At 43.5% G+C, this 12,829-nt stretch overlaps 1 protein-coding gene across 2 annotated transcripts in view; it reads right to left on the bottom strand.

Moving 5' to 3' along the window:
* Window positions 1-1,146: 1,146 nt before the first annotated feature.
* Window positions 1,147-12,829, bottom strand: part of IGSF5 (immunoglobulin superfamily member 5) — a 90,311-nt gene continuing 78,628 nt past the window's right edge. For both annotated transcript variants that reach the window (XM_047440699.1, NM_001080444.2), the window contains 3 exons: window positions 11,129-11,220; window positions 9,615-9,694; window positions 1,147-1,966 (listed from right to left, as the gene is read on the bottom strand). In XM_047440699.1, the coding sequence (XP_047296655.1) occupies window positions 1,871-1,966; window positions 9,615-9,694; window positions 11,129-11,220 (268 nt within the window). In that variant the 3' untranslated portion in view covers window positions 1,147-1,870. The remainder of the gene's footprint in view (window positions 1,967-9,614; window positions 9,695-11,128; window positions 11,221-12,829) is intronic.

The following is a 12,829-nucleotide window of genomic DNA, read 5'->3' as shown; positions in this document are numbered from 1 at the left end:
TTTTCAGGATCCTCTAAGCAGAGATGATATTCAAAATAGATGACAACCAGTAAGGCATGAACACTGCCCAATTAGAATAGATATTGTATGGGCACTGACCAATCAGAATGGATACAGTATGAGCATCAGCCAATCAAAACACATGCCTGGCTCCAAATGGTACCAGGAAATACCCTTTGATATGGTTTGGCTGTGTCCCCGCCCAAATCTCATCGTGAATTGTAGCTTCCATAATCCCCACACGTTGTGGGAGGGACATGGTGGGAGGTAATTGAATTATAGGGGTGGGTTTTTCCTGGGCTGTTCTCATGATAGTGAATAAGTCTCATGAGAGCTGATGGTTTTGTAAAGGGCAGTTCCCTCTTGCCTGCCTCCATGTAAGATGTACCTTTGCTCCTCCTCCGCCTTTCACAATAATTGTGAGACCTCCTCAGCCATATGAAACTATGAGTCCATTAAACCTCTTTTTCTTTATAAAATTATTCAGTCTGAGGTGTGTTTTTGTTAGCAGTGTGAGAACAGATTAATACACCCCTTCAGTTAGTTGCTGGTTTATAGGACGGTCCAGGGTAGGGCTGAATGTGATTTAAGATTATAAAAGTATTTTATACATCATGGTAGTGTAAGACTTCTCTACCATTTGTTGGATTAGCAAGCAGGAGTGAGTGATTAGAAACACCATGACAAATTTGCATCTATTACTAAGTATCCGTAAGGAATTCACTAAAATCCTGACATATTTTAAAAGTCAAATTCTGCTTTAGCAATAGCATGGTTGAGCTTGAGGGACTCAAAGCAGTTGCTAATTATAACCAGCATAGAAATCTGCACCAACCAGTTCAGAGTACGGTCAAATCACAGTCTTGCCCCTAGGTTAAATATGAAGGGGTGGAATGGGCAGTTAAATTCACTGACTGTATCTACATGGAAAAAGAAAAATACTGGGGAAAGGCAGCAATTTATTCTTCATAACAACATTCATGTTAACTTTAAATGAAGTGAATGTACAGTCAGCAAAGATAATTGTGAAGATGTGATGGATTTTTGCAGAAGGCTCTTGTTTTCCTTCTCGGAAAAGGCTTGATTCCCGAATACTATGATTCTTTAAATGACCAACTGAATAGTGAAGAGTTAAGAAAGGCAATACACATTTTTGGTGTTTTTATTAATTAAAGACTACAATGCCCATTTCCAGTTTTTTCACGGTGTGCGGAGTAGGTGAGGTCCATCCTCTGCAAAGCATAGGCCACATCTAATTCATTTGAGGAGATGCAAATAGGTCTGATAAAGGGGCAGATAAAAATGAATGCCTTCATGTAAATATTCAATCATAAGATATTTAGGAACGTGCACATCCATGTTAGAATTGAATCTTACTTTAACTGAGCTCAGTTTTGACAGTCAATTGCAGATTTCTGGTTGACCCTAATTTTTATACTCGTATTTCACTGATAATATGTAATAATACCCCTACATATTAAATATACATAAATATCATCTTCATATGCTTTCAGATAATAAAAACTTTTGAAAGGCATGGTAGAATACAGACTTTTATCTACCATTTGTTGGATTAACAAGTAGGAGTGTTGAATGTTGAGAAAAATTATGATGAATTTGCAGCTTTTACTTAGTAACTTCATGGAATTCACAAAAACCATGAAACCTCTTAAAAGTCACATTCTACTTTGAACTCTGGGAAAATCGATTCCTTCTCTCACTGTCAAGTATCAGTTCTGATGACTCCGACATCTCCTCTTCAGGTAATGTTGGCAAAGCTGCAGGCCAGTCTTAGGATGGAAAGGAAGGATGCCATCGCCGTGTTTTGAATTGTCAGCCAAGTGCTCAGTGGAGCTTGGGGAAGGCTTTGCTATACTACAGTTGTATTACTGACCTTCTCAGGACTGGCCAGATTAAAAGAAGCCTGTGGATGACTTGCTGGCCTGGGTGGACGTTGATCAGCCCGCTGGCAACAGAGGAGGAAAAAAGTCAATTTAATGGGTTGAGATCACTGTAAAATGCAAACTTGAAAAGAGAGCTTCACTCATCTGTTAAGATAAAATTAAGGTACGGAGAGGAACAAAAATGTTAAAATAAGCTCTTCCTTTCTTGCATTATTTCTGGTAACACACAATATAGAAGTTTTCCAAGTTCAGGCCCTAAAGGGCAATCCAATTCCAAGAATCAGTATTTGTTTTGACTAAGGCAAATTACCACGACTCATTGTTTTGTTTTGTGTTTCAATTTTCCTAAGGAAGTTCTTGCTTTACTGGCTAGATTTTTTATGAAAATATAAAATATTTCTAAACTTCTTAAAGAGCGTGCATTGTTTCTAGAACAGGGGGACAAAATTGAAGAACTGACTCCAGATAGATCACCCACCTGTCTCTTTTCCCTATCAGGGAGAAACATAGTCTTCCCTGTTCTCATTCAGAAATGTAATCCCAAACAAACCATTTAATCCTCCAGAGTGGCCAATGCCTGTCTCATAATATTGCCTTATTAAAATGTGTGCAACACTTTTTTCCTGCCAGTCCTGAGAATGGCAGCTCAGGTTCCAGGGCACAATAGCTGCACTTAACATCTTAAATAATGTAACTGGGCATGATAAATTATTCACAATGTGATGGAATGCTAGCAAGTCTTGAGGATAGAATTACTCTGGCTCACGCTCTTAATTTGTTGACTCCCAATAACACAGGGAAAACTGGACAGCGGATGGAACTATGTCAGCAGTGCTTTAAGACATGTGCCTTCTGCTGCTAATATGCTAGAGATTCCTACTGTCGTTTGCTTTTGTTTTCACTGCTGGGTTGTGCAAACATCGCTGTTTTCTAAATTTATCAAGTATGTATTTCTGTTTGTCTCAATGAGGGGGTGATTTGTGGGGAAGGCTTGATCCAGGTCTCAAGTTGTTTATATGCCCATCTTCTGAAAATGACAGAGACAGAGAATTTCCTAAAACAGCCAGGAAAATGCACTGACAGTGAGTTAAGGCACAGGACAAAGAGAGGAAAAGGAGGATTCTTTGTTTTAAATATTCGCCAAAATAAAAAACATTTGCAAATCCCCTGGCTTCATATTGAAATAAAAAAGCATGCCTTTCCCAGTAATTGGTTATTTTAGTAGGAATTTCTAATTTTACTTATTACTTTTACCCTAATGTGTTTCAGCTGCAGTTGCACCCAAATTCATTCTGTTTCACCAACAGGGAAACTCTTGTCTAGAAAACCATGTCAGTACTACATATTCTAACTGTAGATTCAGTCATCAGAGAAATAATCAGAGAAGAAAATTGTCATATTGTATATGACAGTTTTGAAAATGAATCTCTTTTTTCCTTCTGACCCTTCTTACAATTTAATCCATGATTGAGATCTCTACAGTCTAGGTTTCTATTTTTTCATTTACGTTGAATGCAATGTGCTTTAGGACCCATCTAAAATATGGAAGGGTTAATTAAGAGTGTCCCTGGTAGGATGCCAGGTGGACAGTGGAGTCTTTGGTGTCAAGACCTTTCACTTGGCATTCATCATGGCACCACCGTGAGCATCTCAAACTCTTCTCTGTGCTTTGCAGCAAGGCCGGTGGAGCAGGGACACGAGGTACAAGTAATTCTAAATGCACAGTTGTAGGAAGACTTCTAGAAATCAGAGAGCACCCTCCCTTAGAAACAATGCTATACATGTCTGTGGAGTTTTCACACTGGGACAAAAAAAAAAAAATTCCTCAAAGCAGATCACCTGGAGAATGATAAAAATACTGATTCTTTGGCCCTATCTCCCAGACATTCTGATCCAGCAAGCCTGGCGGAGGCCCAAGAGTGTGCATTTTAACAAGAACCCAGTGTGTTCCTGGCACAGGGCTGTACTGAGAGCTGCTGCTACGCCAGCAGGGTACCAAGGCAGCGGTATTTATAGGCGCTGGGTGCACCTCCGTGTTCAGCAAGCATTCTTTAGGAAAACCGGAATAGAGAATTCCGGAAATACATCCACCATTTCTGCCAGGTGGTGGCAAGAACAAGGACTGCCCCATCTCTTGAGCAGGAAGTCTCATGTTCAGGGAAGAAATTGGCAGGAGAGGGTGCTTAGAGGTGGAGATGAGCAAAAGGGGGAGCTCCAGGCAGCCTGGGGACCAAGAGGTCTAGGAACTGGTGCCTCTTCCCATTGTCTACAACCCAGCGTCCCCCTGAGGACCTGGCCTAAGTCAGCCATTGTGCCTGTAGCTCCTGGCCACAGTGTCTGGCCTTTGGTGGTCAAAACTCCAGCCCCAGCCTGTCCCCCATGACACTGCTCCTGAGACATGCCCCCACTTTTCTGAAATTTTCAAAGGATTCCCAGCACTGAAAGCATCAGGGGATAACTAACGGTTTGAAAAAAAGGTTTCACCACTGCATCTTGTCTTGCTCATCTCCGTGGCAGTGTGTGCCTTTGGCATGCTGGACCTTAACTGAAAGGATGCCAAAGGGGCAGGAGTTATGGGAGGCTGGTGCAGCAGCAAATTCTGCCATTTCCTAAAATATTAAAGTTCTAGTTTCCTGTTTTACTAACTGTTGGATGTTATTAAAATTGAGCTGGGTGATTCATGACAAAGATGACGTATTCAGAGACCCACGGCAGCCTTGAGATGTAGACACAGATGTGTACAACTCAGGGAAGAGAGATTGAGAGTTGTGACATTGAAGATGGGGGCACAAGTAACCTGGAAACCTGCTGCTCCTCCTAACGCCATACACCGCCCTGAGCTGGGTGCCTTCCCAGACTCCGGATTCAGTGTCCAGACACTCCTCTACTTGCGGAAATACAGCTGACTCCCGGCAGAGGGAGAAAGAGCATGGCACTACCAACCCCAGTAGAACCCACTCCAGGTGGGCAAGCACAGGCCATTATGAAGGCCTCAGGATGCTGGGCAAAGCAGAATTGCTGAGTACCCATCGTGCAGGGTGAAGTTATGGAGGAGGCAGATTGGTGCTTGGGGACCTGCCACTCTTCCCTTTCCAAAACTCCTGATTCCCCTCTTGCTATAAGGTAACCAATAACCCTTAAGCCTAGCCACATTGAGTTCTCCTAAAAAGCAGAGCTGCTTAAACACCTCCTCAGCCCTCTGAGTCCTGATGTCTAGAGGTGAAGACCATAAATCTGAACTTCCCAAGGGCCTCATCAGTGACCTGTGGGCCAACCCTGGCACATCAAATTTCCCCGTCCTGGGGGCATATTTAAGCAATGGGCCCCTGAAGAAAACAAAGTGCCGCTGATCACAAAGGCGTGGAAAGGCAGTTTGATATGAAATTATTTAACTTTTCTAAATGACCCAAAACGTGATGTTATTTTTAGGTTGTATATTCATCTATAGTGATCTAATCATATTTTTGTCATAACTGATTGGGATTAACAGCAAAGGAAGTAGGGGTCAGGTGCAGTGGCTCATGCTTATAATCCCAATGCTTTGGGAGGCCCATGTGGGAGAATCGCTTCAGGCCAAGAGTTTAAGAACAGCCTGGGCAAATAGTGAGACCCCCATTCCTACAAAAAAAAATGTTTAAAATTAGCTAGGCATGGCAGCAAGTGCCCGTAGTCCTAGCTCTCCGGAAGGCTGAGGCAGGAGGATCCCTTGAGCCCAGGAGTACGAGGTTACAGTGAGCTATGATCGTGCCACTGCAATCCAGCCTGGGCAACAAAGCAAGACCATGTCTCAAAAAAAATTTTTAAAGGCCGGGCAAGCTGTCTCACGCCTGTAATACCAGCACTTTGGGAGGCTGAGGTGGGCAGGTCACCTGAGGTCAGGAGTTCGAGCCCAGCCTGGCCAACATGGTGAAATGCTGTCTCTACTAAAAATACAAAAATTAGCTGGGCATGGTGGCAGACGCCTATAATCCCAGCTACTCAGGAGGCTGGGGCAGGAGAATCGCTTGAACCTGGGAGGCAGAGGTTGCGGTGAGCCAAGATCACACCACTGCACTCTAGCTTGGGTGACAGAGCAAAACTCCATCTCAAAAAAAAAAAAAAAAAAGCAAAGGAGCTTTGTCTATCTGCACATGCACACACCTTATAGTACCTTGCTTGTGACAGCATAATGCTGGGCATGGAAGGTATTCTCCACTTTAATGAGTAACTGTTTATTGAGGACCTAGAAATGCTGGACTAGCCTGTGTGTAGTCAACAGTCATCCATTAGTTAAGTCCTCCTGAAATTGCCGAGTGTTAACAGATCACCAGTTTCAGCAGAGGAGGATGCAGCATGAGCAGAGAGCGAGTGTATGTGGTCAGCAGTTGCCGTCCTGTTCACAAAACCAAAACTATCCTGTTCTGCGATCTATTAAGACAAAGCAGGAGCTTTAGTTGCTGTTGTGCCTGCCGCATCTCCATGGATAGGCCATTTTTCTGACCCAACTAGCTCTTCAGCAACCACGATCGGAAAAGTGTTTGCTTCAGGCTGGCTCACAGCTTGGGATCTTTCAGTCTAATCTACAGGCTTTTCAGGACCTGAGCTTCATGCGGGGTTTCTGCAAAATAGTGCAATCTGTAGTCAACAACCCTGAACTCTAACAAGCCAGCTTCTCGGGCAGGAGCCCTGCTGGGCCCCAGCTCTGGGCCTGGGAGGCCTGTGTGCGCAAAACATGCGGCAGCAGCTCAGGAGGCTCTGACAAATTGGAGTCATACTGAGGCATGCGGAGAGGAGGATGAAAGGAAAACTGAGACGGGACTCTGAATAGCTCTCAGCTGTCTCTCCTGGGCTCTATAAGGAACTAAGGCTTATTGCAGAATGGAGAAAGTTTTGAGAAAAGAAGGCACGACTGCATTGTTTTCACACCTTGGACCAAGGCATTCGGAATTCAGAGGTCCTCATCACCCCACACAGCACGAACCTGGTGACATAGGCCTGGCAGGGCTGCAGGGCTACGGGGCCTGGTCTGGGGAAGTTCTTAAAAGGAACCTCTGTACCAGCGTCACCCTGACTGCTTCTACAAGCTGTAGCTTCACTATTCTGGCAGCTCTCAAGTGGCCAGTTGACCACAACAAGGTCTATGTCTTCTCTGGACCAAGGAAATGGAAGGGAACGGCTGTGTCCCCAGGCCCAGCCTTTCCACTGTGGCCCATTTTGCTCATTCCTCCTCTAAGTGCTTCCCAGGAAACACGGCCCATGGTACATCCTGCATCCAGGCTCTCCAAATGGGCAACGTGGAGGCCGTGCCTGGGCCCATGACGGCAAAGTCCTTCTTTGGTCATAATCAAAGATAGACCTCTTCTTTAGGACTTTGTCCTAAAGTCCCCCCATGATGAGTAGAAAGATCCAGTTATTTAATAACCCTCATTAGTTTCTAGCCCAGACAAAGATAATTCAACTTCCTAGAGTCCTGATTTGTTTCTTAAGGGCCTTGGTGCTCTCTGATGAGGTGCCCGGCTCCCCTAGAAGACGACAAACCCTTCAGGAAATAAGAAACACGAGACTACGTTACCAGTCCCCAGGGCTCAGCACCTCGAGGGTCACTGTTCTTTTTCCACCGATTGATTATTTAGCTGGGTACATGTTTCAGTAGCAGAAAACTCTTAAGTTTCTCTCCCTGTGTATATTCAAAAAGAACACTACAAACATCAAGAAGCATCCACTCCGAGCTCCAAAACGTCATTCTCCACTCAGGTATCCAAATGCACCTCACATTCCCCTTCCTCCTCATTCATACTAGATGTATTTTGAAGAGAATTATGTGGCATGACCCTATTCTGAATCTCCTCCCAGCTTATACCCTCCCCACAACGCCAGACCTGAACACTTTGGCTTGTCTGATAGAAACACACTTGATAGACAAAGATAACCACGGAAGGGCTGTGGAAATCATGGTTGGCTTAAATGTGCTATTGGCTGTCCGTGCTTGGAGCTGGGGTGGGAGCGAGCCCCTCAGCCAGCCACCCCACAGCCCAACAATCACTCCCTTCCACTGCCACCTTTCACTCAGAGACTGGTCCTTCTAAAGGAAACCTGTTGCATCATCGTCCCTTCCAGCTCCAAATTAAATGCATCAAAAGATGTATGTGCCAAAGAGAGCGGCCCTGATGGAAAAAACATTACCTCTCCATTTTCCTGACACCCGGCCTGAGGAAAGTCACTGGAACTTGTACTAGGAGCTAACGATTTGTTACTCAGGCACAGTTGCCTTTATGCCCCAGGCCCCTCATATGTCTTGTTGTCTGGCTACCTGTGTTGACACTAATATTAATAGTATCACTTAGGTTTTCCCAATACATGACTGAGCATCAATCAGCACTCCCTTCCCCCCTACAGGCCTGAAAAACACACATCACTGGCAAGATGTAGGTTACTGAGCTGAATCCCAATTGCAGGGAGGAATATTATTGCCCAGAGCTCCCTGGAAACTCAGGTAAATACCTGTGCCAAGAAAGAATGATCAGGGGCCACACAGGCACCTGCTGGGCACCGTCGCCTCAGGTAAAGCAGCTCCTAGCAGAACAAACCCAACCCATCTGGCCCAGTGTGCTATCCAAAACCCAGCCTGCAAGTTTACCTTTTCCAAAAGCTAAAAGAAGATAACATCTACACTTATTGGGGACACAATCACAGAATCGCATTGAAATACTTCTTGTCTGAAGTTGCATTTGTACAGGTCAGAAAAGGGTGTTGGTTATATATATTCTACCTAATTTATGATTCGGGATAGAAAATGAACTCTCATTCATTCATGTATGATAACCAATGCTGACTCTATATCAGCAAATTAACATACTATGTTCTCAGTGCTGCCAGTTGACCGTTTACTTAAGTGAACCATCCTGTGAAAAGACAGCTCCCATCGAAACATTGCCAACCAACCAACCAGTATCTACAGCTAGTACCTCTCCCTGGAACTGCAGACTGGTGAATTTAACTACACCTTCAGCATCTCCATGTGGACATCTAACAGAGACCTTCAGAATCTACAAGCTCCAATTAGATGTCTAATCTTTCCCCCTAAACTGCTCCACCCATAACATTCCTTATCTACGTTAATGGCAACTCCAGCCTCTTAGCCGTTCTGGCCATAATCCTTAATCATCAAGGACTCCTCCTCTCTCCTCTAAAATTCTAACCCCGACAGGATTTTTTCAGCCCTCAAGCTTATCAGCATAGAACTTGCATGCAGAGCAAACTACATTTTCTCTGTCCTGATCCTCAAACCCAGTGCATCCTTCCATGAGTCCAAAGGCCCCAAGGGTCCAAGTACAGATGAGCACGTGGGAGCGGGTAACCAGGAGAGCAGAATGGACTTGAGTCCTGGGAGAATATGGCTCAAAGAGAACAAATGGCACATTATATATGCTGCTCACTCTTATGCCAACTCAGGCGGATACGTCCCAAATCAAGTCGCATCCTCCCAAAATGTGAACCCAGAGCTGTTACCCAGAACCAGCCTTGATCTTAGAGCAACTGCTACTGAGGGCAAGAAACAGTCCACGTCTCAGCCCCATCTCTCCATGCTGACCAGCTGATATGGAGGGGAGGAAAGGCAACATGCCACCATCATGAATACACAACGCGCACCATTTTATAATCACCCACAACAAGGTAAGAATTTTTAAATAGCCAAAAAAGTCCAAAAAGGGGGAAAATGGTCTAAACTACCTGGTGAGGAGGGCCACAGCTACTGTTTCTTTGTTCAGGATCACTGGATTCACAGGATTTGGGAGGGAGAGAAGCGGTGTCTGCAACAGAAGAACAATTTTAGAGTCATTAAGTGGCAAAAACCAAGCTGTGTGCTCTAACAATTCTGATTTATAAAGAAACACATTTGCTTTTATGTAGTACCGCTGGCATAATCCTTAACCATGAACACTTTTTTTAAATTCCCTTGAGATCCCATCTCTTTAGAATGTTATTTCTTTAAAGAAATAAAAATATGGAAAACTAACTCAAAATCCATTTCTTTCTCGACACATTAGTTTCACCCAGACACTAAATGATCCAAAGCTTCAACAGCTGATCAAGGAAAATAAATGCCAGACAAATGGAGATAAAAGAGATAGAGATGTTTGATTTGGGCCATGATTTTTGTCAAGATAGTCAATTGCTCAAAATACTAATGAATAAATATTCACTCACAGGAACCTGCAAGAAGCTGTGGTCAGATTATCAAAGGAAACAGTCCATGCTCTCTGGAATTTTTTTCAATCTGAAAGATGCAATCTGGAATACACATGGGAGGCAGCCATGGTAAAATCAAAAAAAATGGGGCTGCTGAAAATAGAGCTCCAATTTTTGTGGAAAACGCAGGTGTTTAGGCCCCTCAGCAAGGACTGATTGGCTGAAAACCTTCCCATGGAATTTGGTGTTCCCAGCAGCCTGTGAGGGCAGGTGTCCTGTTCATCCTGCAGAGGAGGAGTGGGTTCAGCCTTCCCCTCTCATCGGCCTTCAATACTCAACTGCTGCTGCTTCCTGGTGATGTTGTCTTAGAGATGCCCTCACTGCATTATCACTCTGTATTGTCTCATAGCAAGAAAATGAGATACTACAGCAAGACTCTCCAAAAGTAGGTCTAGTTTTCCAGCATTCCCAACTCCCTGTTACATTCAAGGGGAAGAGATCTCTTACTTGACTCTACTTGAAATTGGGAGGAAGTTACCCCCAATGTATTAAAATACCTCCCCACATGTTTTAATGTAGAGGGCTTTAAACAAAAAAGAAAGCATGGGGAAAAAACAATTTTTTTTATTATACTTTAAGTTCTAGGGTACATGTGCACAACGTGCATGTTTGTTACATATGTATACATGTGCCTTGTTGGTGTGCTGCACCCGTTAACTTGTCATTTACATTAGGTATATCTCCTAATGCTATCCTTCCCCCTTCCCCCCACCCTATGGCAGGCCCCAGTGTGTGATGGAAAAAAACAAAGTTTTTTAAAGCTCTCAGGGTTCTTCCTCACTTTATTTTAAGCATTAGACAAATAGGTGGATTTTTACTGTTAACCTACTCCTAGAGTATTCCAAGTTCTAGAATTTCTTCTTCTAAAATTTATCCAAAAAATAATAACCACCATTGCCAAGTTAGCCTCCCTGTGCAGCTGGTATCTAGCAAGCCAGCCCTTCTTCCAGCTCTCTCTTTCCCAGGTCTTTTCACCACCCCTCTTGTCTACTCACCTGTGGTCTTTTGTTCATCTGAATTGTAGCCGGAGTTTTCATTTCCACTTTCTGTCTCAGTTTCTTTGTTTGTCTTCTCTTTTTCAGATTTCCTACAATTAGACCATTTTATGTTCATGTTAATTGTTGGCATTAACATTGCCAAATGTTAATTGGCAATGGATACCTACGTAGTTCACGTGGTTACTCTCAAGAGTATGCTTACACATTGAACTTAACACAGGAAGTCCATAGCTTTGCCGCTGCGTTGCAGGTATGCACGCCTGCCTACTCACACATTCCCATTATGGGGAGAGATGAAAGTTTATCCTGGTCCATGGACTCTACTCCCCAGTTGTTACTCAACTCTCAGAAACCATTCACCAAATAAAACAAGAGTCAGCAAGCTATGACCCACAGGCCAAATCTGACCCACTCCTTGTTTTTGTAAATAAAGTTTCATTGGAACACGGTTACATCTATCAGCTCACATATTGTCTATGGCTACCTAAACATGTAGCCATACTCATGTTATAACAGCAGAGTTGAGTCCTCATGACAGAGACCATATGGCTGGCAAAACTAAAACTATTTACTACAGGGCCTTTTATGGAAAAAATGTGCCAACTCCTGAAATAAAGCAAAAGTTGGTGCAGCCTCCTAGGGTTTGGAGGCTGGAAGGAAGTCTGGCAATGGAACGCCAAAGAATTTTAAATAGTCACACTTGACCTCTAAGGATGTATGCTAGGGAAACAATCAAGGATATGTATAAATATGTACTTGAAAGAATGTTGATTCATGAGCTATTTATAAAAGCAAACTGCAAACAACCGAGTGCCCAATCAGGGAGGACTAGTAAAATAAATGATGATGGTTCTCTAAAATGGAATTCCATGGCATCTGTCAAAATTATTACATATGAGAGCTCTCACACACTGCTAGCGGGAGTGTAAGCCTGTACACCTTCTTTGGAAAAATGTGGCACTGTCTAAAGCTGAAGATACGCTACCTTCTGGCCCAGCTTTTAGGACTAGATACAGTCTCCCTTGGTATTTGTTAGAGATTGATTCCAGGACCCCTGCAGATACCAAAATTTGCAAATGCTCAAGTCTCTGATATAAAATGGTGTAGGATTTGCATATGCATATAACATACACACATCCTCCCATATATTTTAAATTATGCCCAGATTATTTATAATACCTAATACAATGTAAATGCTATGCAAATAGTTGTTATACTGTACTGCTTCTTTATTTTGTATTACTTTTTACTGTTGTATATTTTTTCAAATATTTTTGATCCATTGTTGGTTGAATCAGAGGATGTGGAACCTGCAGATAAAGAGAATCAGCTGTATTTCCCCACAGAACCAAACAGAAATGAGTACTTATGTTCACCAAAAGACTCCTACAATAGTACTCAGAGTAGTTGTTTTTTGACGTTGTTGTTGTTGTTTCTTGGTGACAAGGTCTCACTCTGTCACCCAGGTTGGAGTGCAGTGGTGTGATCTCGGCTCACTGTAACTTCTGCCTCCTGGGCTCAAAGGATCCTCCCAAGTCAGCCTCCTGAGTATCTGGGACTACAGGAAAGCACCAACATGCCCAGCTAATTTTGTACTTTTTGTGGAGATGGGGTTTTTCCATGTTGTCCATGCTGGTCTCAAACTCCTGGGCTCAAGGGATCCACTGCTTTGGCCTCCCAAAGCGCTGGGACTACAGG

The sequence above is a fragment of the Homo sapiens genome, chromosome 21 (assembly GCF_000001405.40).
Source record: "Homo sapiens chromosome 21, GRCh38.p14 Primary Assembly".
NCBI classification, from domain to species: domain Eukaryota; kingdom Metazoa; phylum Chordata; class Mammalia; order Primates; family Hominidae; genus Homo; species Homo sapiens.
This window is presented reverse-complemented; position numbering and strand designations above follow the sequence as displayed.